Source organism: Homo sapiens, chromosome 13, assembly GCF_000001405.40.
Source record: "Homo sapiens chromosome 13, GRCh38.p14 Primary Assembly".
Lineage (NCBI taxonomy): Eukaryota > Metazoa > Chordata > Mammalia > Primates > Hominidae > Homo > Homo sapiens.
The window spans coordinates 46,033,633-46,058,728 of record NC_000013.11 but is presented as its reverse complement, the minus strand read 5'-3'; the positions used below and the strand labels follow the sequence as shown (position 1 = coordinate 46,058,728).

The 25,096-nt window shown below is 35.4% G+C and overlaps 2 protein-coding genes and 1 long non-coding RNA gene across 33 annotated transcripts in view, besides 4 other annotated features; 2 read left to right on the top strand and 1 right to left on the bottom strand.

Moving 5' to 3' along the window:
* Positions 1-5,543, top strand: part of CPB2 (carboxypeptidase B2) — a 51,848-nt gene extending 46,305 nt beyond the window's left edge. For all 3 annotated transcript variants that reach the window (NM_001278541.2, NM_001872.5, XM_017020393.3), the window contains 3 exons: positions 348-550; positions 2,880-2,967; positions 4,931-5,543. In NM_001278541.2, coding sequence (NP_001265470.1) covers positions 348-550; positions 2,880-2,967; positions 4,931-5,115 — 476 coding nt within the window. In that variant the 3' untranslated portion in view covers positions 5,116-5,543. The remainder of the gene's footprint in view (positions 1-347; positions 551-2,879; positions 2,968-4,930) is intronic.
* Positions 1-5,881, bottom strand: part of CPB2-AS1 (CPB2 antisense RNA 1) — a 48,500-nt gene extending 42,619 nt beyond the window's left edge. For both annotated transcript variants that reach the window (NR_046226.1, NR_046227.1), the window contains exon 1: positions 5,764-5,881. This is a non-coding gene — a long non-coding RNA (CPB2 antisense RNA 1). The remainder of the gene's footprint in view (positions 1-5,763) is intronic.
* Positions 5,727-6,262: an enhancer, noted in NCBI's record as "NANOG-H3K27ac-H3K4me1 hESC enhancer chr13:46626602-46627137 (GRCh37/hg19 assembly coordinates)". NCBI's record gives its function as "activates a minimal SCP1, AML or CMV promoter by ChIP-STARR-seq in primed H9 embryonic stem cells {active_cell/tissue: H9 hESC(primed)}" and the evidence as "EXISTENCE:reporter gene assay evidence [ECO:0000049][PMID:30033119]".
* Positions 5,818-6,017: an enhancer, noted in NCBI's record as "active region_7685". NCBI's record gives its function as "activates an Ori minimal core promoter by ATAC-STARR-seq in GM12878 lymphoblastoid cells {active_cell/tissue: GM12878}" and the evidence as "EXISTENCE:reporter gene assay evidence [ECO:0000049][PMID:35858748]".
* The window catches only part of ZC3H13 (zinc finger CCCH-type containing 13), a 98,282-nt gene continuing 79,168 nt past the window's right edge, over positions 5,983-25,096 (top strand). For 5 of the 28 annotated variants that reach the window (NM_001330565.2, NM_001076788.2, NM_001382212.1 and 2 more), the window contains exons 1-4: positions 5,983-6,031; positions 13,213-13,338; positions 13,665-13,774; positions 16,454-16,565. In NM_001330565.2, coding sequence (NP_001317494.1) covers positions 13,222-13,338; positions 13,665-13,774; positions 16,454-16,565 — 339 coding nt within the window. In that variant the 5' untranslated portion in view covers positions 5,983-6,031; positions 13,213-13,221. Of the gene's footprint in view, positions 6,326-6,739; positions 6,798-13,212; positions 13,339-13,664; positions 13,775-16,453; positions 16,566-25,096 lie in introns of all 28 variants that reach the window. The other 23 variants (NR_167893.1, XM_047430207.1, NM_001382207.1 and 20 more) reach the window with 8 other exon arrangements.
* Positions 6,028-6,197: an enhancer, noted in NCBI's record as "active region_7684". NCBI's record gives its function as "activates an Ori minimal core promoter by ATAC-STARR-seq in GM12878 lymphoblastoid cells {active_cell/tissue: GM12878}" and the evidence as "EXISTENCE:reporter gene assay evidence [ECO:0000049][PMID:35858748]".
* Positions 6,263-6,799: an enhancer, noted in NCBI's record as "NANOG-H3K27ac-H3K4me1 hESC enhancer chr13:46626065-46626601 (GRCh37/hg19 assembly coordinates)". NCBI's record gives its function as "activates a minimal SCP1, AML or CMV promoter by ChIP-STARR-seq in primed H9 embryonic stem cells {active_cell/tissue: H9 hESC(primed)}" and the evidence as "EXISTENCE:reporter gene assay evidence [ECO:0000049][PMID:30033119]".

The window sequence follows — 25,096 nt, the reverse complement described above, 5'->3', positions numbered from 1 at the left end:
AACTAAATTTACAGTGGATTAAGGAAAGTGGGGTTTATTTTTTCTCCCATAACCATAAGTCTGGAGACAGGGCTGGCATCTCTGAGGATCTCTTAGCCACTTTCTCAAGGTTGCAAGGGAGACAGGTGCTGGGAATGACTGTTAGAAGGTCAGCTATGTGAGCAGATAAGTATTTGACTTCAAAAGAAACATAACACTTAGTGGAACTATGTTCTTTGCAGAGCCCTACCTAATCCATTCATCTAAAAGTGTTGCAACATAGGTAGGAGAATACGTTGTCTGGGAAACCACAAATTACAGTACTATGTGCATCCCCTCATAATTTCACCTTAACAATTTCGTTACAGAGGAAGGTGCATCCAGTTCCTCATGCTCGGAAACCTACTGTGGACTTTATCCTGAGTCAGAACCAGAAGTGAAGGCAGTGGCTAGTTTCTTGAGAAGAAATATCAACCAGATTAAAGCATACATCAGCATGCATTCATACTCCCAGCATATAGTGTTTCCATATTCCTATACACGAAGTAAAAGCAAAGACCATGAGGAACTGGTAAGTGCTACTTAATTATTTTTCTCATTAGCATTTTGGAAATAAAATAATACTTAGTTGAAGAATCAAAAACTGGGAAAAATTTTGTCCTCTAGAAGGCAAATGATAGATGTTTTAAATCATGGTGTGATCCTGTTGAGAGTCACCCTGGGTCAGTGTTCTCTAAGGGAATATAAAGAACGTGCCTTACCCTAACAACACACACTTTATTCAGCACGTGGGCTTCCTAAGAAAATGTCAGACAAATTCCTTGAAGGTTAGGAAGGAACTACTACTACACTTGACCTGATCTGCATGTGAAGCGGTATAAGCAAGGATGAGTATGGAATCATGCGACAGCTTTGTGGTCACTAGCTTCCTACAACAGCACACCACAGATTAAGTCTCAACACAGCACTCATTGTTTTGGTATTAGCAGCAGGAATTGTTCCTGCCCTGACTTCCCTAACCCTCAGGGTTTTGGTCCTATTAAAGTACCTCCAATTTTAGCATTGAGGAGAGAGTCTGTTTTTTGGAACATAACAGACAATACAGGAAATTCAAAGAGGACTCACACAATTTGATACTCCCTTAGCACTTTTTAGTCCAAGATACTGTATGTTTGGGTTCATGGCAAAAGATGCAAGGATTCTTGAAGGATTGTAGCTAGGCTTCGACAAATCCTCATCCCAGATGCTCTCCAGACAGTGGAAGTGTTACATCAACAGCCCCATTCTTGGGAAGGGACTAATTTTTAGGTAGTAGCTTGTTTCTTAGTGACTCATTTTTTTTTCTGGCTCTCTTAACAGAATAAAATATAGTCACATTACAGGAGCTAGCAATTGCTGATGACAAATATAAGATTATTTGCATTCTCTGAAAATAGCCCATTTAGAACATAAATGTACTTGATACTTGAGCTTTTTTCTTCTCAAGGGAAAACTGTTAAGGAAAGCACCTTTCAAAAATATTATCTTTGAAGAAATAAAAGGAAATTTATCATGATTTGGGAAGTAGAATTAGTCTAATTATGCTTTTTTTTTTTTGCATCACTGCCAGCACACATATATGTTGAGAGCCATTACGTGTAAAATACCTTGTCAATGGATGTTTAAAGAAGCATTAGGTAAAATCCTGCCCTTTAAGAGAATGTGTTATGGTTAGGGAGCTCAACCATTAGCAAATGTTACAAATAGTTGTACTCTAAGGCGACATAGAGTAACTACTAAATACGTGGCACAGACAGTACAACTCACTTCTAACTAGAATATCAAGGGATGGCTTCACTAATGCATTCAGAGGGAAATGCTGAGATAAGTGAGGAGATAAAGTAGTTACTGTCCTTGAGGAATTTACAATCTATTAAGGGGGGGAAAAACTACAAATAATAAAGTGCTGTTGATGTCAAAGATCAGCTACATTTTAGACAGGCATTGAAAGAGGATTTCTATAGGCAGACAGGGAAGGAAGGACCTTCCAAGCAAAGAAGTTGGTGTTCACCATAAGAGGATGCAAAAGTGGAGGGTGATAGCATCAGAAAGTAGATTAGGTTGGCTTCTGAAGGGGTGTGACTGTCAGATAAATTTGTATTTCATTATGTAGACAATGGGGTTACATTAAAACTTATTTTTTGAACAATGAGATGGCATAAAATAATATCCGCTGATAAATCTCTTGAGTTTTTCAAGAAGGTGACAGTGTATACCATGATGCTAGTTCCAATTTCCGAAAAGTTCCAGATAAGTGAGAACTTCAGAATAGATTTGACAAAATGAATATCAACAGACAAAATGAAGTCAAATGGGGGTCTTAGTTATTATCCTGCTCCATACCAGAGGCATAATCTTTTTTGATTTGATGAATCTATGGAAGTCATTAGACATTTTACACAAGAAGAAAATAGAAGTTGTGAGAAGGATAAGAAGTGAGTCATGCATGCATTAGGTGTTTGTATGTGTTTAGAAAGGTTGGATTTAAAGTTTGGTGATAATTTTGTTCAGAAATGGAGTACCTCTAAGCCTTTGAGATGTAGTTATACTTCATTTTCCATAATAAATGAGTTCCCAAAAAGGCATGTGATAATTTTTTTCTGCAAATTAATATATTTATTTATATAAATTATTTCAATATATTGAAATAGTTTATGTTTAAAGCCACCCAATTGTGATTGCCATAAAGTGCACATATTTTAAATTAATTTGTTTACCTTATTTATTTGCCTTTTAGATGAATCTAGATTTTCTACCTGTATACTTTGATTCAATTAATGTATGATTATTTTTTAGAAACTTCTACTTGTCATGTTTCAAAGCTGCACATTAACTGAAATTCTATATCTTGTTGCTTCCAGTCTCTAGTAGCCAGTGAAGCAGTTCGTGCTATTGAGAAAATTAGTAAAAATACCAGGTATACACATGGCCATGGCTCAGAAACCTTATGTAAGTATTTCTTCTTATGATCTTAGAGAACTTTGAGCTACTAAAGAAATCTGTGTGATCTGTTTTTCTTTGTGTATTTAATTTTTCTGAATTAAATAGGGTCACATGTAATACAACTGAATTGTAATAATTAGGAACAGAAGCATAATAGCTATGACAATGCTGAACAAAGCTATATTAATAAATGAGTTACTAAAAAGAAGCCAAAATCCTATTTAAGAAATCATATTTATCACAATCAAGTAGGAATTACAGAATTGGCATCATACTAGTTGAGTGAAGCAGAAAAGTTCATAAAACTTTTGCATGATTCCCAGGGCCACCATGGAAGGTTGTGCAGGTTGTACACTACACTAATCTAGGGCATGCCATTTGCATCAAGTGTTTTTTAGTGTTAGCCTGTTCCCAAGAGTATAGCTCATAACACATTACAGTTGATTGTCTTTAATATATATTACACACACAAAACTTGTGACAAACTCTTAACAAAAAGTTTTGATTAATTTTTGCTGAAAGATATTTAGTGAGTAACTCCTATCTACACACAGTGGGAGGACAGACTGATTTTGCCCTTTTGAAGTTTGAAGGGAGATGGGAAAAGAGGAGCATAAAATAAACCTGTAACCAGGCATCAGAAAACTACAGCCTGAAGGCCAAATCCAGGTTTTTCCTTTTTTTTTTTTTTTTAATGATTAGAAAAAAACAAAAAGAGGCCAGGTGCTGTGGCTCATGCCTGTAATACCAGCACTTTGGGAGGCTGAGGCAGGAGGATCACTTGAGGTCAGGAGTTCGAGACCAGACTGGCCAACATGGTGAAACCCTGTCTCTACTAAAAATACAAAAATTAGCTGGGCATGGTGGCAGGCGCCTGTAATGCCAGCTACTTGGTTGGCTAATGCATAAGAATTACTTGAACCTGGGAGGTGGGGGTGGCAATGAGCTGAGATTGTGCAACTGCACTCTAGCCTGGGTGACAGAGTGAGACTCCATCTCAAAAAAGGTCGAAACTGTATTTATCATGAACACTAAAATATGTACACATTTTAGTTAACATGCATTAAACTGTAACAAGTCTTCTGGCAATTGTAGCTTTCATGAGATGCTTCCCAAACTGTATTAGATAGATGCTAAAATTATAAATTAAAATTTTGGGTCAGACTTTGCCATAAACCTGGACTCAATTTAGCACCCCCCCAAAAAAAGTCAGATTATTCAATTAATGCGGTTGGAAAACCTAACAAGTTACCTAGAAAAAAATTAATTGGATTATTAACATGTCTTTCACCAAAGTAAATTCCAGGTACAGCATATATTTTCATATGAAAACCCTGCATAAACCAAGTTGAAATCTCAGTAAGGAGAAAAAATTCTTGTGAAAGGAGAAATGAATGAAAGGAGAAAAAAAGGTCTACATGCCAAACAAAGCTAATAACACTAATGTCGTTTTTATAAGCAATTGATAAAATGAACCAAGTAGACAAATGAGGAAGGACAATTGATAGGAAATATAAAGATAGCCAATAAATATGCCAAACAAATGTGCAACTCACTGATAATCAAAAAACATAAATTAAGACAGTTGGATATTATTTTTCGCCCATAAAATTATCAGAATTCATAATTCCTATTGATGGTATGGGAAGGGGAAATGGGCAAATTCATACCCTGCTTGTGGAAGTATAAATGAATTCAGTTCTTTTGACGTCCATTTGGGAACATGCCGTAATTGCAAAAAGTACAGAGCCTTAGACTAGCAAATCTATTCTAGGGAAGAATATTCTAAAGAGACAAAGAAGCAATTATGTATAAACAAGGGTACTCATTGTAAAGTTGTTTATATTAGTTAAAAACTGAAAAAAATCTAAAGGTATACAAACAAATAAACATTTAAATCAAACAATTCCCAGTTTGTAAATTAATTTGAAACGTCTGTATTTCAACAATTTCTTTCTTCTTCTTTTAGACCTAGCTCCTGGAGGTGGGGACGATTGGATCTATGATTTGGGCATCAAATATTCGTTTACAATTGAACTTCGAGATACGGGCACATACGGATTCTTGCTGCCGGAGCGTTACATCAAACCCACCTGTAGAGAAGCTTTTGCCGCTGTCTCTAAAATAGCTTGGCATGTCATTAGGAATGTTTAATGCCCCTGATTTTATCATTCTGCTTCCGTATTTTAATTTACTGATTCCAGCAAGACCAAATCATTGTATCAAATTATTTTTAAGTTTTATCCGTAGTTTTGATAAAAGATTTTCCTATTCCTTGGTTCTGTCAGAGAACCTAATAAGTGCTACTTTGCCATTAAGGCAGACTAGGGTTCATGTCTTTTTACCCTTTAAAAAAAATTGTAAAAGTCTAGTTACCTACTTTTTCTTTGATTTTCGACGTTTGACTAGCCATCTCAAGCAAGTTTCGACGTTTGACTAGCCATCTCAAGCAAGTTTAATCAATGATCATCTCACGCTGATCATTGGATCCTACTCAACAAAAGGAAGGGTGGTCAGAAGTACATTAAAGATTTCTGCTCCAAATTTTCAATAAATTTCTGCTTGTGCCTTTAGAAATACAACCATGCATTCCGTTTGCTCCACGGTAATTAGGCGATGGCCCAGAAAGGGGAGGGGTGTCAAAAACGACAAACATAGCCTCTCATTCCAGCTCAGCTGCTCAATAAACACTGTTGAACGAATGAATGAGTGGCTCTAGGTACTGTCAACAAATGCCGCATTTTGCGCATTTACAACAGCTGTTTATGGTAAGGAATTATGTAATAAAAAGAGAAAACTCACTTAAATTCACTTTTAATTGGGAATTTTAGTTCTCCCGGGCTCCCAGTTTCCTTTCCTAGGATCTCTCACAGAGCACAGATTCGATTTCCAAGTCCCGCCGCACTCTTACCGCTCGCATGGAACCTTACGCCTAGAGGGCGTGTCCACGAAGGGTGGTGTCTGCGCACTGACGACTAATCTGACGGCCGGAAGCTGCCTGGGTCTACAGAGGAACAGGGCAAACCTCTGACTTCCGGCGGCATTTTGAGGCGGTCCTCCTAGCGGCCTGGTAGTGTTTTTGTTGCCTTTTCTTAATCTACAATCTCTTCGTTATTTTTCTTCCTGCGACCCAGTTTCGCTTGACCCTGGAGAGGCGGCGGGCGGGTTGGTTCTGCTTCTCAGCCATCCCGGGGGCTCCTCGCTAGCCAAGAGCCGGTTCCCGGGAGCCGCGCGCGCATCGCTTTCTCCTCGTCGTCGTCCTCCTGGGTCCAGGCGCGGGGACAGAGTCGCCTCCCCCGCTCCTCGGAGCGGCGGCGGCGGTGGTGCCTCCGGACTGCACTTGCGAAGGGAGCTTGGGGAGGAAGTAAGCGTTCTGTGAATTGGTGTGGGTATCTGGGGAAGGCATTGAGCGGACCCGTAATGCGGAGGCCCGGGTTACCCCCCCCCGTCTTTGCTTGAGTCACTGGGATTTTGAGCTTTCCTTGAGCATCCCACCCTTAACTCTGCAATAGCCCCCTGTGCTCAGGCGTAATTTCTCACTCTGATTATGATTCTGGCATTTGTCTAAGGGCGATAAGTAGACTCAGACAATAGGCTGTACCCCTCGTTACCATTTGATGTAAGCACGGGAACCCTTGTATGGTGTTCGTATTTGTGTGCGATGGAAGGGTGCAGCAATTTGGGCTTAAATTTAGAATCTTCCTCTATACTCATTCCAGATCTGTTAGAGAAAAACATCTTACTTGTGATTGGTCTTGTTTTTTTTTTTTTCCCTCAGCAGTGATAACGATTTAGGTCCTGGGAATTGAGTGCTACTTTATCTTCACAAGCCTTAGGTAGGTAGTTTTGGCAACTGTCAGAAACGGGGGAAAGTGGAATAGAAAGAAGAGAGTCTGTTTGGCGGCATTATCTCTCTGTAATAGGCTAACGCAATTTATGTGGTTTGAAAATTATTTAGAGTTGATAATACTTGAATTATGTTGGTAAGATGTTGTTTGTGAAGGGTAGTCTTAAGGTATTTGGTTATACTATGGGGCTTTCAGGTAATTCGAACTACTTTGAAAATTATGGGAGTATGAAGTCTCTTAAGATTTTTGGATTTTTAAAGTAGTTTTAAAAATTTGGAAAACATCTTTACACCTCAAGTTTTCGAAGTCCGCGATACCGTTGGAGAATAAATACTTATGCAGTTCAGTCTATGGGTATATGGTGCCAGTTAGCGGGGTCTAGTTCTGTAACATTTGAAATTACTGGCTTTAGTACAATATATTGGAGCGTTTTGTGAATACAATCTATAGATTTTCAAATAATTTTTATTTTCTTAATGAACTATTTAGATTATAACAGATGACAGTTTCAACTAGAGACTAGCAAAGTTGATGCAAGCTTGTAACAATTGCGGCTTTAAAAATAGTTGCACTCTGAAACTAAGGCTTTCACTCTGTGCATCTGGTAGGATTCAGTTTTATCAAATGTATGCCTCTTACTGGCTTCCTGATTACTGGTCATTCTAAATGAACATTGCATATTTTGAGATTTGCAAGCTTATGTGATTTTCATATTTGTAATATGAATTTAACATACTAAAAATCCAGCAAGTGGATGGTATCTTAACATCTTTACAAATTATTAAAATTGTAATATCATCAGTATTTATAATATGCATTGGCATTTACATAGAGGAAACACATTGTTTAACTTAAATTTACTTAGAGAGTTGGTTTTCAGTGGATGATAGTCTTCCTCACCTCCTCATCTCTCCCAACTCCATCTCATATAGAGGTGGAGCTATTTCTCCAGCTGTTAGTAGTAGTTGAAGCATTAACTGCTGTTGATATAGAAAGAGTCTTTTATTCTTTTTTTTTTGTATTTTTGTATGATGCAGTTCTTTTTACTTCACTTTAGAGTAGCTACCAGCATGGGATGTTTTCTGTGCACAGTCTTTTTAACAAATTGTTTTTTCTGCATAGTACTGCAGTGTTGCTTTGCTAATTCCTATGTAGTCAGCTTAGTTCTGTCAGTTGTATTTGGAATTTAGTTTGGAATTGTTTTAGCATTAAATTTACGGAAGCAATCTGAAAGTTTGTTTTAGAAAGTTCTTTTTAAAAAATTCTCTCAAACTATGCATCAAATAAAGTTAATTTTTCTTTCTAAAAATATGAAGTATAAATGTGAAGATACCTTATTTTTAGTATCACCTTTTTAATCTTAGAAATTCAGAGTATAGGGATTTATCCTACTAGTTAGTACATTCATGTAGTTTTAATTGCCTAATTGTTTGAAATTTCCCTAATATTATGCCGCTACTCATCCGGATTAAAGTGTTATGCTTTCACTTATGCTTCCAGTAGATGAGACCTGGAAAAGATAATTAATTATGGATTGAAGTGAAGATACTAGAACGCATATGTGTTTATTGACAAGATTTTATTAATTGAGCTTCTGGAGTCATTATTCAAAAAGAGACCCTTTTGTATGCTTCTCCTTTCTCAGCCATAATTATAATGTGAACCTTCTGAGTACAGTGTTATTCTAAGTTTCTCGGGGCAAGGGAGCAGTTCCCATTTAAGACCCTCTTTTGTTGTGTCTTTATTAATAGACTCAAACTTTGTGTCCCGGATTTTCTTTTTCTTTTTCCATTTTCTTTTTTAATTGAAAAGAGATTATAAAGACTTCAGATATTCATTTGCTCTGCAAATGGAGAGGAGAAATAGGAAAATAACGAAATAGGCTTTCACTAGTGCCACTCTGTCTTTGATAATGCTCGTGTTTGAGAAAGACTTGATGATGTGGGTGGAAGTGTGATGGCAACTTAAACCAAATAATAATTTGAAAACAAAAATGGAGGAAAACCTTCATAGAAGAGTAAATTAGTAAGTTATTGGTATGACCTTGATTTCTATTCTCTATGATAGGAAAGACTTTAGTATTTACATTTTTATCTTATGGTTTCTAATTTTTCTCATATACTTTGAAGCATTTACTTGTCATGTTCAGCCTGTTCATACATAATTTGAAAAAGTTTCCCGCCCCGAAAATCTACATTTTAACTGTTGTGGTGTTCATTTTCCTTTACGGGCCCAAAGTTTTAAATAGGATTGAAAATTCTAATTGTCACATTAGTTGGTAACATTTAGTTTTAATATATGAAAAAGGAAATGTTTTTCTGCTGTATTGTAGATAGTGTGTATATTTTTAGATAAATGGGATTTTTAAAGTTATATATTGTGTTCTTTACAAGCATGAAGCATTTTGTTTATTCAAATTCATGAATGTCTCATTAGTAATATTTAAGTAACATTTTATTGTTGACTACTTGTGGAAGTTTTTACATGGATGATCAGAAGAATTTTTTCAGTTAGAAATCTTCAGTTTCTGCTTTTTTCTTTTTTCACCAGACGTTTTACACACACACATATATATATCACATTAAAGAACATTTTATTAAGAATATGTGTGTGTGTATTATTGTTGTCATTATTCTTGTTTTAAATGTTCAGTCCAGGACCTTGCTGTAACCCAGACCGCATACTCAGATGCTGTATTACTTTAGGACAAAGTATGGTACTCTTGGAGTCTGAGAAAAAGTAGAGTACATCTTTTTTTTTTTTTTTTTTGAGACGGAGTCTCCCTCTGTTGCCAGGTTGGAGTGCAGTGGCGCGATCTCGGCTCACTGCAACCTCCACCTCCCGGGTTCAAGCGATTCTCCTGCCTCAGCTTCCCGAGTAGCTGGGATTACAGGCGTGCACCGCCACACCCAGCTAATTTTTGTATTTTTAGTAGAGACGGGGTTTCACCATGTTGGCCAGGATGGTCTCGATCTGTTGGCCAGGATGGTCTCAATCTCTTGACCTCGTGATCCGCCTGCCTTGGCCTCCCAAAGTGCTGGGATTACAGGCGTGAGTCACTGCGCTTGGCCACATTTTTACTTAATTTCATTTCTTCGCTAAATTGGGAGACTCAGTACAGTAGTAGCTGCAAGTGAAATTCCTGGGATAATTACTATGTAGGTGAATCTTGAATAGTTCTTGATGTCACTGGTAAAAGCAATTTTGTCTCTGTGGAAAGAATATGGGCGTAGGGTGAGGGAGGTGAGGAGGTGGATCATTAGTCTTCACTTGATTGTCTTTCATAGCAAGTCCAACCCTTGAAATCTTCAAAGTTTTTTTTTTTTTTTTTTTTTTTTTGAGGCGGAGTCTCACTCTGTCACCCAGGCTGGAGTGCAGTGGCGCAATCTCGGCTCACTGCAAGCTCCGCCTCCCGGGTTCACGCCATTCTCCCGCCTCAGCCTCCCGAGTAGCTGGGACTACAGGCGCCTGCCACCACGCCCGGCTAATTTTGTTTTTGTATTTTTAGTAGAGACAGGGTTTCACCATGTTAGCCAGCATGGTCTCGATCTCCTGACTTCGTGATCCGCCCGCCTCGGCCTCCCAAAGTGCTGGGATTACAGGCGTGAGCCACCGCGCCCGGCGAAATCTTCAAAGTTTGCCTTAGGGAGTCTAGGATTGGAGAGAAGCTCTCAGACCAGCAAAGCAATAGGTCAAGGGAGGAGAGTAGTGCGAATCAGGCAACAGAGGACAGACCAGAAAAAGAAACTGTAGAGTTAATACCTGGAACCCTCAAAAAGTAAAAAGAAAGGAGATGATAGATGACCAATGTTTTAAGTATAATAAGTACGATAATAAATAGCCTGTCGTCCTAACTGGAAACCATTACCATTGAATTTTTTGAAGGAGACTGAGCTGGGAGTGGAGGCATGTTGGGGGTAGTAGAGATGTTGGGGGCAGAACTAACTCATTTCCAGTGACAGTGGAGGGAAAAATAAAAAATTAGTGTTAGTCCACTTGAGGCAGTGTGGTGGGATGGTTGTGCCTGTTTTCTAAGTTCTACATAACTAGCAAATAAGGAAATTTTGGAACCTATTCAATTTTGTTTATTAAGAAATGTTTTAAAAATTGAATTATTGGTTGAGGATTACTCTATATTTGTATATTAATGTAGCAATATATAATGAAACTTTATGTTTTTCTCAAACTTCTTATACATTGTGATACATTTACTTATTATTGAATCATGCTTGGATATATATTGTTAAAAAAGTTTTTCTCAAAGCTCTACATTTTCTAGATCTTTCTCAGCTCCACTTCTCTTAGCTTTCAGTTTTTTCGTGCTCAGTAAATCAAATAGACATAGGAAATTTTACCAGCTTCTCCTCCGTATGTTCACATTTCAGCTGAGAATGAGTCTAAGAAAAATTAAATCAAAGATTATCTTATAATGCTAACACCAGTATGTAGAATTGGTGTGTAGTTCCTTACTTGGAGAACAATTAATATTTAATTGATTTTGTGTTGCAGCAAATTATTGTTTATGTGATGCTCTCCACTGGTTCTTAAATTTATAATTACTGTGAAGTAATTCTGTTTTTAAAATCACTAAAAATTAATTGCTATTATATCAAAAGAATTATTACATTTTATATTGATAAAAATATAGATTTTCCAATTTAAAATCACCATATATTATTTCATATTTTCCTTCCTTGATGCACCATCTTTTATTTATCAAATGTTGTTCTTAGTCTTTGGATTCTTTTAAAAGTGTGACCTGAAGTACCTCATTGAACCAAACACTGTTTATAATTTTTTATTGCTGTTTCAATTAGGTACTACCACGATTTAATTTCCTTTAAAGTGATATGTCTTTACTTTGAAACCACATTAAAGATTTGTGATCTTTATAGAGACTAAATGAAACTTTTTTAGCTGCTGTGGTTCATTCTAGTAACTTTTGATGATTGATAAGATTTCAACTAATATTTAGTTTGTATAAAGCGGGATATAGTATGGTGTTTTTTTTCCTTCCCCTTATGAGGCAGTTTCTACCCTCTTCCCACAGTAGTGTATGCTCTGGATTGTATCTTGGTCTAGAATTTAATATTGTTTTCTAATGTCATAATATACTGTCATTATCTGATACTTGCAAATCTAGTTGAATTACCCAATTATGTCATTGGATTAGATTTTTACTATAGTTTCAGTTTTTGAATGTTTTATTTACATACATATATATATATAGAGAGAGTTTTTTTGTTTTTTTTGAGATGGAGTCTCGCTTTGTCGCCCAGGCTGGAGTGCGGTGGTGTGATCTCGGCTCACTGCAAGCTCTGCCTCCTGGGTTCATGCTATTCTCCTGCCTCAGCCTCCAGAGTAGCTGGGACTACAGGCGCCCGCCACCATGCCCAGCTAATTTTTTTTTTTTTTTTGTATTTTTAGTAGAGACGGAGTTTTGCCATGTTAGCCAGGATGGTCTCGATCTCCTGACCTCATGATCCGCCCGCCTCGGCCTCCCAAAGTGCTGGGATTACAGGCACGAGCCACTGTGCCTGGCCCTTAAAAAATATTTTTATGTTTACATCAAATCTAACAGAGCTTAAACGTAAAATAAAATAAAAATATTTTTACAATTTGCCTTTTTTGTTATTACTAATAATGGTAAAATAGTCTGATAATTACTTTTAACACCTTTGAATTTTATGTCAGTGTAGTATAGATTATAGAAACACCTCGACTTTTTCTAGTTCTACAGTCTGTCCTGTTTTGAAAGTTGTTTCTATCAACATTGAGTTTTGTTTTGTTTTGTTTTTGTGTTACTGGAAAATAAATATGCTTGATCAGATTGTTTTGACTTCTGTCAGGCAAAGAAAATACTAAAATATCATTCATTTTTCTCAACCTGATTTTTGGAACATAACTGCTGTTGTCCCTTAAACTTATGAAACATAATTTCTGCTATGAAAATTTTCACCCAATTTTATTTTTCCATTTTCTTTAGCATAACTCTTTTTCAGTTAACCAGTTGATGGTTAACAACTTTGAGTTACTAAATTTTGAAGCAATTTTTGTAAGTAACTTTTATAAAGTAAACATTTTGTACTGTATCTTCTGAGGTTGATTGTACTATGAAAACTTCACTGTGTGAGTAGGATCATATTCGTTCACTCTGCAGAAGAGGTACAATTCTAGCCAACAGATCTCACAGCTGTTATAAATTCACCAGTAAGGCATGTTTTAGAAGATATTATCTCTGTTTACCTGTGACCTCTCCTATGCTTTTTTTTTTTAATCTCCCAAGGAAAATCTCCTGTAATTTTACACTGTTACCTATAGTTTTATCTACTTGTAAGCTGTGGGCTCAGTTATTTAAAACTGAGGAATTTTACAGTTTTGCCTCTTTCTTTTTTGGTTGAAGTAGTACAAAATGTCAAAAATTAGAAGGAAGGTCACAGTGGAAAATACCAAGACTATATCTGATAGCACATCCCGAAGACCCAGTGTATTTGAGAGGCTTGGACCCAGCACTGGCAGTACAGCAGAGGTGAGTTGTCACTAGTATAGTCACAGGGGTTCTCTTAGAATTCTATTATTGAAATGCTTATTTGTATCATAAAGGTGAACAGGTTGTTTTATTGTAGGAATGTTTGTTCAGTAAATTTTTTAAAGTGTGTTTTATAAAAAGAAGTGAAAAGGGTGATAAGGTTTATGGGTTTTTCCATATTTTTTTCCTGAAGTTTTTATTATTTGGGGAGTAATATATCACAGGTTAGCTGGAATTTTGGTAGCATTTGTTTTAATTTTGTCCCGCTAGCATTTTTTTTTTCCAGAAATAAATATGAAATTTACATAGTAATATCTGTCTCTTAGACACAGTGCCGTAACTGGCTGAAGACTGGCAACTGCCTCTATGGAAACACATGTAGATTCGTACATGGCCCTTCACCTCGTGGTAAAGGTTATAGCAGCAATTATAGAAGGTAAACTGAGAACTTTGTATTGTTCATGTACTATTAGAAGATGGCTTTTGTAATTTATCTAGTATAAAAATCTGAAATACAACCATATATTTGGTCAGATTTTCTATATTGGTGGTAGTCTTACCAGTAATTGAAGATCGACAGGATCTTTTTGTTATTTTCAAGATTAATAAAATGTTTGCTTTCAAATTAACTTATTTGTTCATTATTTATTTGTTTTGACAGTAGATCTTTTTGTAGTATGTGTATGGCTTACTTTTTCCCCCCTAATTATGTATTAAATTGCTGCTTAAGACAGCAGAATTCCATGGTGTCTGAATTTCTTTTTAGTGAGGCTATTTTTAACTCTTAAAATAGTAAAATTCAAATAGGGTATAATTTTAGCTGTTTAAGATGTTCTGAATTCAAATTTTGTACAAATTCTATAGGTTAAAATGCATTTGCCAAATCCCTTAGCACAGTATGTTAATGAAAATATGTATTTATATGTGGATGAATATGCTCCATATTTCGAACATCGTTTTGCCTTTAATAAAGGCTTGGCTAGATTAAACTTGCTTAATAAAGACCTTTTATTTTTCTTTTGGTTCCCTCATGATGATTATTTTATGGTATTTAAAGATGTAATATACATAAAGTTTGTCACAAAAACAGTTTTAACTTGATTGGTAAAGAAATAATTTACCTAGATCCAAAATTGGTTACACTGATTGTTTTGGCTATAGCATAGCAACACTATAAAAACTGAACATTAGCAATTGGAATTTTTTTTTTTTTTTTTTAGTTGAATGATTTTTTTGGGGGTAGTGTATGGGTAGATTTTGTTTAGGAGAATTTAAAATTCAAACCCTCAACATTAGCCAACTTCTTTTTCACGTAAACATTGTACATTTTAGTTTATTTGTGATTCTGAATACTGTTTTATTTGTATTTAGATTGTCATTTGTCACTTCCGTTAATGTGGGAAGATTAGTGTTTATTGTATATGTGTGTTTACTTGTATATATACACGTAGATACATACCTGGTGAAACTATTTCGATACTTTTAATGTTTTGCTTTAATACTATACTTTTGATACATTTTAAAATTTATCTTTGAAATTTATTAGCTGACTCAGAATTTTTATTCAAGAAATCATTTTGAGAAAAATGGTCAGAGAAATTTGTCTAAAATGGGAAAAAGTAATGTCATTGCTAGACTTAGAATAAAGAATATTTATTATAATTTTGCTATTTTGTGTATGATTTTCCATCTGATAACTTCTTTCGTATTTGTGCATTTTTTTTGTCGGGAGGAAAAACATAGTTCATAATGCGAGTCAAAGATAAGAAAAGCAATGTATTTTACAGAATGCTTATTTATATGTTTATATACAAGACTTTTACATAATTAATTGAGAATTCGCTGTGTGTAAAACATTCATTCTGTTGGGTGCTGTTTAGGATAGAAACAAGTTCATACTAAAGTGTTTTATTATATAAAGGAAACCAGGGCACATAGGATTTACATGTACATCATTATAATTTAGAGCACTTAAGTACTGGTTCTTAGTAAGAGATTCCAGTTTCAAGTTTAGCTTTAACTGTTAAAACATTTAATATAAATCTATTACATGTGCATGTAAACATTAATGAGATCCTTTAAAGTGAATTAACTCAAATTATTTCTTTACTAACCTTATGATTTATATTCATAAAATCAAGGAACTGATTTGATTGCCCAATGACTGCTTGAAATAGATGTGAATATTTATGTGATTTGTTTATATCTTTTTTATATATAGTACTTTTTGGTAGTCAAAGAGGAACAGAGCATTCCTTAACTTCTTTTGCCCTGTTTTAAAGGTGTTGTAGAAATAGTCTTTAAAGGCAGTCTGTTTTCCATCTCTCCTTTGTTTTTTCCCACTGATAGTGAAAATAATTGCATAGCCATATACTGTCAAATTTCTAGTATAAATAATAAAGCCTTACCACTGTTGAGTATAAATATGTATTTTTCCTTTAGTTAAAAAATTTACAGCAGAATATGAAAATCACTGTTGTAAAATTGCCTTGAATCCTTTATCTTTATTCTGAAATAATTTAAAATTTAAGATAAATTTTAAAGCTCCTATATTTGCTTTGATTCTTACTTAAGGTACATAAAATATTTTCTCAGTTATTGATGTTGCATCCAACCACAGGCATGTGTATACAAGAAACTTATTTCTTGTAATATCTTCTTATATCTTTCAGTATAAATGATAATGCTGCTACCTCTAGATTAATTTTGCAACTTTGTAGTTTAAAACTTTGTGTTACTACTACATTTTGCTCCCACATATAACTAATATATTTATGTGATTAATAGGAAAACAAGTCAAGCTATTAGTTCCTTTTTCTCAGTTCACATATAATTTCTTATTCACATCACCAGTACCTGCCACTTCGTGGAATTTAACATATACATTTTGATTGTTATTGGGAGAAAAACTGTAAGTGTTGCTCGTGTTTTGCATATTAATATTTAAGGTGAAATTTTTCAGAAATTCAGGAGTCAAGGTCAGTTAGAAAAAGTGTATTGAGATTTGTGAGGTTATTTCTGTAAATACATTCTTATAAAATGTTATTAATATATAAATACAGATTTTTGTTGTTTTGTTTCGTTTTTTGTTTTGTTTCTGTGTTTTGGTTCAAAGGTCACCAGAAAGACCTACAGGGGATCTTAGAGAAAGAATGAAGAACAAGCGCCAAGACGTGGACACTGAGCCCCAGAAACGAAATACAGAGGAGTCATCCTCACCTGTTAGGGTAGGATTGAATTTCCCAAAACAAAGTTCAACTTCAGTAGTGATTTGTTAATTTGAGTTTCATTTTAAATATTGTGTGCTAAATATATGGTAAATGTGTAATACGGCATTATAATGTTCTATATGGATAATGTAATTTAGAGGGAAAGAGTCCCCTGGGAAAACTGTGATTGGTTCAGTTCTTTATGGTAGTTAAGATGAAAGGGATTAGTTGGCAGAACTCAAGCTGAACTTAGTAGGGATTTTGTGTAGGGATCCCTTAGTAGGGATCCTTGACGAGGATCATGAGTATCTTTAAGTTTTCAGAATTCAGCCAGCCATCACATCTGCTTCCAAGAAAGATTGAAGTGGCTTGCAGTAGAACACTTACAAATGAAAACAATGAAAGCAAAACACATGGGGTTAACAAACTGCACTAGAAAGTTGAGGTAAAAGAAAGCACATATGACCACAAATTTTAGCTGTGAATTTGTTGGCAGTGAAGCCAAGAGAAATAAAATTTATAATGTAGTTCATTGAATAAAAGAAAAGTGTTTGTCAGGAATGGAAATCTTTCCCAGAGCTAATTTTTTTCTAGAAATTTATCATACCATATTTCACATACCATACAGTTCACTCATTAAAAGTGTACGCCTCAGTGGTTTTTAGTATTATTAGAGTTGTGAAACCATCATCACAGTCAATTTTAGAATATTTTCATTGCTACGTAAAGAAACGCCAAACTTTTCAGCAGTCGCCCTCCTAGCCACCAGCCCTAGGCAACCACTAAATCCTCTTTCTCTCTCTAGAGATTTGCCTATATATTTCATATAAATGGAATAATAAAACATGATTTTTTGTGACTAGCTTTTTTCACTTAGCATACCTTTTCAAGGTTCGTGAAAGAGTATGGGATGCATCAGTATTTTATTCCTTATTTTTGTCAGATAATATTACATTGTATTGATAATATCACATTTTGTTTATCCACTCATCAGTGATGGATATTTGGGCTTTTTCTACTTTTTGACTCCTGTGTATAATGCTGCTATGAACATTTATGTACAAGTTTGTATATGGATATGTTTTTATTTCTATTGGGTTTATATTGAGGAGTGGAGTTGACAAGTTCTACGGTAACTGTGTGTTTAACCTTTTAATGAACTTCTAGACTTTCATTAAGTGGCTGTATCATTTCACATTGTTGACAGCATATGAAAGTTCTAGTTTCTGCACATCATCACCAACACTTTTGTTATCTAACTTTTTGATTATAGCCATCCTGATGGGTGTGAAATGATGATCTAACTGTGGTTTTGATTTGCATTTTGGATTCTAATGATGTTGAGCATCTTCTTGTGTACTTATTGGCTATTTGTATATTTTCTTTGGAGATTCTTTTCCCATTTTAAAAATCGAGTTGTCTTTTTATTATTGAGTTACAAGTGTTCTCTTTATTTTGGATACAAGTCCCTTATCGTATATGTAACTTGCAGATCTTTTCTCCCATTCTGTGTGTTATCATCACATTCTTGATGGTGTCCTTTAAAGCATACACATTTTTAATTTGATGAAATCTGACTTACCTGTTTTTGTTTTTTTTGTTATTATTGTTGCTTGTTTGTGCTTTTGGTGTCATCTAAGAAACTATTGTTTAGTCCAGGGTCACAAAGATTTACGTCTATGTTGTCTTTGAAGCATTTTCTGGTTTTAGCTCTTATATTTAAGCCTTTGATACATTTTGAGCTAATTTTTATTTATGATGTGGTAAAGGTTCAGCCTTATTCTTTTGCATGTGGATATCCAGTTGTCCTCTATTATAGTCTTTTTATGAAAGTTACTGAATTGTAACTGAATCAAGGAAGCAACAACTTCCTTGATCACTTAAATTATGTAGAAGTTTTCTGCAGCTGTTTTTGACCCATGGTAAAAAAGCCCTGACAGCATTATAATTTGTGAAACTTATTTCTTACAATACAGTTTTAAGTATTTAGTTTTCTAATGTCTAATGTTATACAGTGATACAGTCTTAAAAATCTTAAATAGTTCTCAGCTGGAGGTTTTTATCAACATTCCTTTTGAGGGAAGATCTTTTTCAAAATACACATGCCAATATTCCACCCCTAATCTACTGAATCAGAATTTCTGGGTTGGGGCTAAGCGTGTGTATTACATTTTGAAATAACCTATTGATTCAGAATAACAGATGCCTCAGCGGTCTGCCAGTAAATGTACCGCTACTCTGAAAAAAAGAAAGCCATGCTTTCTAGGGTTTGCCCCTTCTTTTATGTAAATACTCCCACCATGGTCAGTTTCAAGCTTTCAAAGACATCACTGACAGATGCATAGTTGGGAAGAGATGCTAAGTGACATTGTATACAGTGTTCCCGTTATGTATATTATAAACAGACACACAAAATGTAAATAACCTCAGAAGTAAAATTTACTATGAGTTCTGAGTACTTATTATCTTTGTTTTTAATACAGTTTATTTGTTCAATCATGGCTGTGTTTAACAGTGGCTTCCAGAATTCCTAAAAATTTAAATCAGCTCTTATGAGTCAGTACAGACTGACTCTAGCATACTACTAGATGAATTGTTATTAGTATAAGGAGCAAACATCTGGAATCCATATTTAGAGCATATTACTTTAGGAATTGTTAAACTCTTCTTCTTGTCTCCTTATCCGTAAAATGGAAATGCAGGCTGTCCATGTTGCTGTGAAGAATATACATGTAAATGATTTACTATTCCATGATGACACATGCGTAATAAATGGTATATACTGGTATTGAAATGGCACTTAGCTTTTTCTAATATAAATTGTCTTTAGGCTCTTATAGAAGATGAACATCAGCCTTGGAGATTTAGGTTGTTGACAGTTAACTGAATGTAAGTGTGTTGTTTATCATAAGGGTTTTTATGTTCATCAAATAAAGTTAGTACAGTAAAGTTGGCATTTTGTTAAGAAATTTAAAGCCTGATTCTTGCTTTCCCTAGATGAGAAAGCCCTCAAAGGCACTGAGCATCGTGTATACCTAAGGGATAGAGTTACAAATTTCAACAGTGATCAGGTTTTAGGTAATACACTATCTAAACTTAAACAGAACTGTTAATAACCTGGGACACCAGGATATTAATTATTATTTATTAGTATTCTTTTGAGACAGAGTCTCACCCTGTCTCCCAGACTGGAGTGGAATGGCATGATCTCTGCTCACTGCAACCTCTGCCTCCTAGGTTCAAGCGATTCTCCAGCCTCAGCCTCCCAAGTAGCTGAGATTACAGGTGCGTGCCACCACGCCTGGCTAATTTTTTGTATCTTCAGTAGAAATGGGGTTTCACTATGTTGGGCAGGCTGGTCTTGAACTCCTGACCTTGTGATCCACCTGCCTCAGCCTCCCAAAGTCCTGGGATTACAGGCATGAGCCACCAGCAAGGTATTAATTATTTTTAGTGTTATATTTGACAGGTAACAGATACTGATCATTTTTATGGTGCATTCTTGCTGCAACACATGACTGTTGATCTTCATGTAATGAATTTCTCTAGGAAGATCAGGCCTATGTTAGGTAAGGGCAACTGTGGAATAGATTACATAGGCATAGCTAAGATAGAATGGGTGTGATTTTCAGCAAATTAGCTGTAATTCCTCCTCTTCTCTGTCACTGATGTCAACTCCAGTGTGTTTGAATTATGAGGTTGGTAACCCTTGATCTTGTGGTTATCAAATTCATAAATGGATAACTTGTAATTCTGTAGCATGTGATAGTGTGTCAGAAAGATACGAGCAAAATGCACAATGGAGAGAGTAAGTAATTACCTGGAGAACCAGGGACCTCTTCAGGGAAAATGACACTTGGACTGGTGTTGAAGGATCGACGCGGTGTCAGAGGGGAGGGAAGAAGAGAAAACCAACACAAGAACTGTAAGGAGTTTTAAAGGACTAATGTGTTTGAGGAGCTTGTGAAGCTGTGTGCCTAGGTTATAAAAATGATAACGTGGACGTGAGATGAAGGCTGAAGTAGATTAGGACCAGATTATCAGTGGTCTTGTGTGCCAAACTCACAGTTTAGCAATAGAGAAAAGAGACATGCTGAGATCTGTCTTGCTCACCAGTTTACCTCCAGACCCTGGAACTAGTAAGTTCACTTACTGAATTAATGGAAAGTGGTTCTGATATGCAGCCATGATTGAGAAACCCTGCTGATGTAAGGTCTGTGCTGTCAAATGTGGGTAGTCTGAATTGAAGTGTGCTGTAAATATAAAATACATAGTGAATTTCAGAGACTTAGTATGAAAAGAAAGTAAAATATCTCAAATTTTAAAATGTAGATTATATGTTGAGAGGACAATGATTTTGGATATGCTGGGTTAAATAATGTTATCAGTATTTTAATTTTACCTTTATCTTTTTTTCTTTTTAATGTTACAACAAGGAATTGTAAAATTACTTAAGTGCTTGCATCATGTTTCTGTTGGAAAGGGCTGGTCTAGGTGATGTGAATCAGACTTAATACGGTGGAACTGAAAAGTGAGAGGCTTATATGAGGTAGTCAGTAGGAAATAGTTGCATTTAATCAGTAGAGGTTTTCAGATTAAAATGGAATTGTATTTTCATTTTATATTGCAGAGACTTGTTATTTTATGGAATTTGAGCACAAAAGATAAATTAGCTTTGAAAGCAAAATTAGACCCCTAAATATAGTCAGGAAGAATATTCAAGCATTTATTGATGACGGAGACATACAGGTGCTGTAGGGCATCCTTATCTCTTAGTAGAAGCTTTGTGGCTGCATTCAAGAAAGAATTAGATAATTTGTCACTGTGGGAAGATACCTAATTTAGGAGTTAGAGGTGCCCTATGAGTATTGCTTACCTAAGTCTTACATCAGAGCAAATGGGCAAGAGCAGTGGTCTAAGTTTATTTTTCTTTATTGATCTTTGTTTTTATTTTCATTTTTTTATTGTGGTAAAATACACATAAAATTTACTATTTTAACAATTTTTTGATGCACAGTTTATTGGCATTAAGTACATTTACACTGTTATGCAACTGATACCACCATTCATTTCCAGAACTTTTTCATGATCTTTGTTTTTAAAGTGTTTAGTTTTTTGTTGTTGTTTATTCGTCCTCATATACAATATTAAAACAATTGGGATAGCTGAGTGTGGTGGCTCACGCCTGTAATCCTAGCACTTTGGGAGGCTGAGGTGGGCAGATCACTTGAGGCCAGGAGTTTGAGACCAGACTGGCCAACATAGCAAAACCCCGTCTCTACTAAAAATGCAAAAATTAGCCAGGTGTGGTGGCTCATGCCTATAATCCCAGCTACTCGGGAGGCTGAGCCAGGAGAATTACTTGAGCCTGGGAGGCGGAGGTTGCAGTGAGCTGAGATCATGCTAGCCTGGGTGACAGAGTAAGACTCTGTCTCAAAAAAACAAAACAAAACAAAAATGACAATTGGAATAATATTTTAACTGATGTTAATTTTCTAAATGTTAATTATTTCAACTGGTTAAATACTTTTTCTTTACCTGTTATTTTAATAACTTTTTCTGGTTCCTAAAAAGTAATTTTTAGAGGTTTTGTTTTTTTTCTTTTCCACCTCGAGGTTTTTCTTTTGAGACTTCACAATGTTGTTCTCTTTCCCTTGTCCACTGTTTTTTCAAAGGACCATTTCTGTCATTTGTTTATGTTTCCTACCCCACCCCAACCTAATTGCTTACCTTCAAACAGATCATTTGTTTAGACTTGATATTTATCCTGAATTTATTTAAGATGACTACACTCAAATTACTTTTTCAATTCTCAGTCTATAGGTGGATCTCAAGTTGATTATCCAACTTTAAACCTATTCCAGGTGTCTTATTACTGAATTGAAAATGTATTTCTAGTATGAAGTTTACTGTCTCTGGAAATTGTACCTCCTAGAATGCCCATGCAATTATTAGTTTTGTTTCACAGTTGCCTCCTCAGTTCTCTTACTGCCCCCCGACATCCCCTATCTTGTTCTTTTTTTTTTTTTTTCTTGACACGGAGTCTTGCTCTCCCTCTCGATCTAAAGTGCAATGATGCAAACATGATTCACTGTAGCCTCCACCTCCCAGGCTCAAACAATCCTCCTGCCTCAGCCTCCAAAAATGTTGGGATTACAGTTGTGAGCCACTGCACTTGGCCTTACCTTGTTCTTTTTCTGCCATCTTGATATTTCTGTCTAGATGAGAAAAAAAAATGGCACTGACTCTAGAGGAAGGGATAATACTGTAGCTGTTAGAATTAGCAGGACTCCTGCAGTGGAGGACTTTTAAGTTAGAAGGCCTTAACATTGTTACTAACTATATCTTGAGTAAGTCTCTTGACTTTGTCTTTTAACTTGTAGGATAGATGTACCTGCCCCAGTTTATCACAAGTTATGGTGAGAACCAAATGAAGAAGTACGTATAAAATTCTTTGGAAATAATAAAACATAGTTTAAATGCAAAATAGAAATAGTAGAAAGTCACCAAAGTAAAAATTTAGGAAGCTGATCACTGTAGGGGTAAATAGATCAAATGAGTGTTGTTTGTTTATTTCAAAAGAAAAGGCTTAGAAGGATAAGAGTATAAGTAGAGGTACAGTGTATCTACCACCTGGTGGAAATTTGGTAATGAATATGTAGTACGGAGATAATTATGGTGATTTTCCAACATAGCTATATATTTTCATTTTATATGGAAAAAACTTTTAAGTTTAGCCTAGTATGATCTGCAGATGTATTCTTTGATAGCATTAAGAGTTGTTCCAGTTGCTATTCCTTGATGTAAAACAACCATTTATTATGTGCTCAAATTCTGTCAGGAATTCAGAAAGGGCACAGCAGGGATGTCTTTTCTCTTGATCTGTGGGCCTCAGTTAATCTACTGGAAGCACGTAGGCTGGAATCACTTGAAGGTTTATTTACTCACCTGTTTGGCAGTCGATGCTGGCTGTCAGCTAGAGGCCTCTGTTTGTCTCTATGTGGTCTCTTCCCTTGGATAGCTTGGGCTTCCTCACAGCCTGATAACTGAATTCCAAGGGTTAGTATTCTGAGACACATGCACACTGGCACACACAGCAAGGGAATGAGCATGTGCTTGTGCCCTGGTTTCTTTTATTGTAGAATGGTATTAGTAACCAAAACCTGGGCGTTAGCTGTGTTTGTGCTAGTGGGGTATTGTTTCTTTTAGGACCTCTCAGCTAGCAGAGCAAATAAATATATGCGTGTATACTAACTGGTATATATAAATATTTCTAGTGACCATCTGTTATCTGTATTAAGCTAACCATGAGTTTTTACTGATTTCTCTAACTGTAATCCATTCCCACTATTAGTATTTTTATGCCCAGATGTCCCTTCCTTAGCTTGTGGGTGATCTTTGTATTGGATCCTGAGCCTTTTTTTTAAATTTACTTTATTGAAATATAATTTTCAAACATTGAAATGCACCCATTTTAAGTATACAGTTTGAGTCTTGACAGATGTGCCACCTGTATAACTACCACCACAATCAAGATACAGAACATATCTGTCAACCGAAAACATATCTTCATGCCTTTTTGTCATCAGTCGCCTCCCAAACTCACTCCTGATAACCTCTGATCTGTCACTGTAATGGAATCATATATATTATCGTGTCTTGATTCTTTCAGCATAGTACTTACCAGATTCAACCACATTGTTGCATATGTCAGTAGTTCATTCCTTTTATTGCTGATTCATGTTCTATTAGATGGATATATCAAAATTTGTTTAGCCATTCTCCAGTGGATGGACATTTGAGTTGTTTCTAGTTTTCACCTATTAAGAATAAAGCTGCTATCAACATGTGTATATATGTTTTTGTGTGGAAAAGTTTTCTTTTGGTAAATATCTAGGGGTAGAACTGTGTCTTATGTATATTTTTAACTTTATAAGAAACTGCTGAACAGTTTTCTGAAGTGGTTGTTCCATTTTGCATCTCCACCTACACTGAATAATTTTCTCTCTGTATTCTTACCAACACTTGGCATTGTTGGTCTTTTTCATGTTAGCCCTTCTAGTGGGTATATAGTAGTTTTAATTTTCATTTCTTAATGGTTAGTGATGTTGAACATCTTTTCATATGTTTATTGGCTGTTTCTGATCTTATGTATATCTTTTATTGGCTAATTGTTTATTTGTTAACATCTTTTGCTCATAAATTAGGCTCTTTGTCCTATTACCAATTGGTAATATTCTGTATACCAATCCTTTGTGAGATATATGTATTGCAAATACGTTTTCCCAGTGTGCAGCCTGCCTTTTTATTTTTTTTTGTGGTGTCTTTCAAAATGTCTTTCAACTTGAATGAAGTCCAGTTATATCATGTTGTTTTGAGACCACTTTAGTAATCCTCTGTAGTTTCTTTGTTTCTCTGAAGATCACGTATTCCCAGCACATTGTGTATTTCATACTATATATGTGGAATCAGCCATTTTCCTCAAAAAACTTGGTTCCTTTTACTGAGAGTACTTGAAAGCTTTTACCGCTAGATTAGTCATTGTCTTT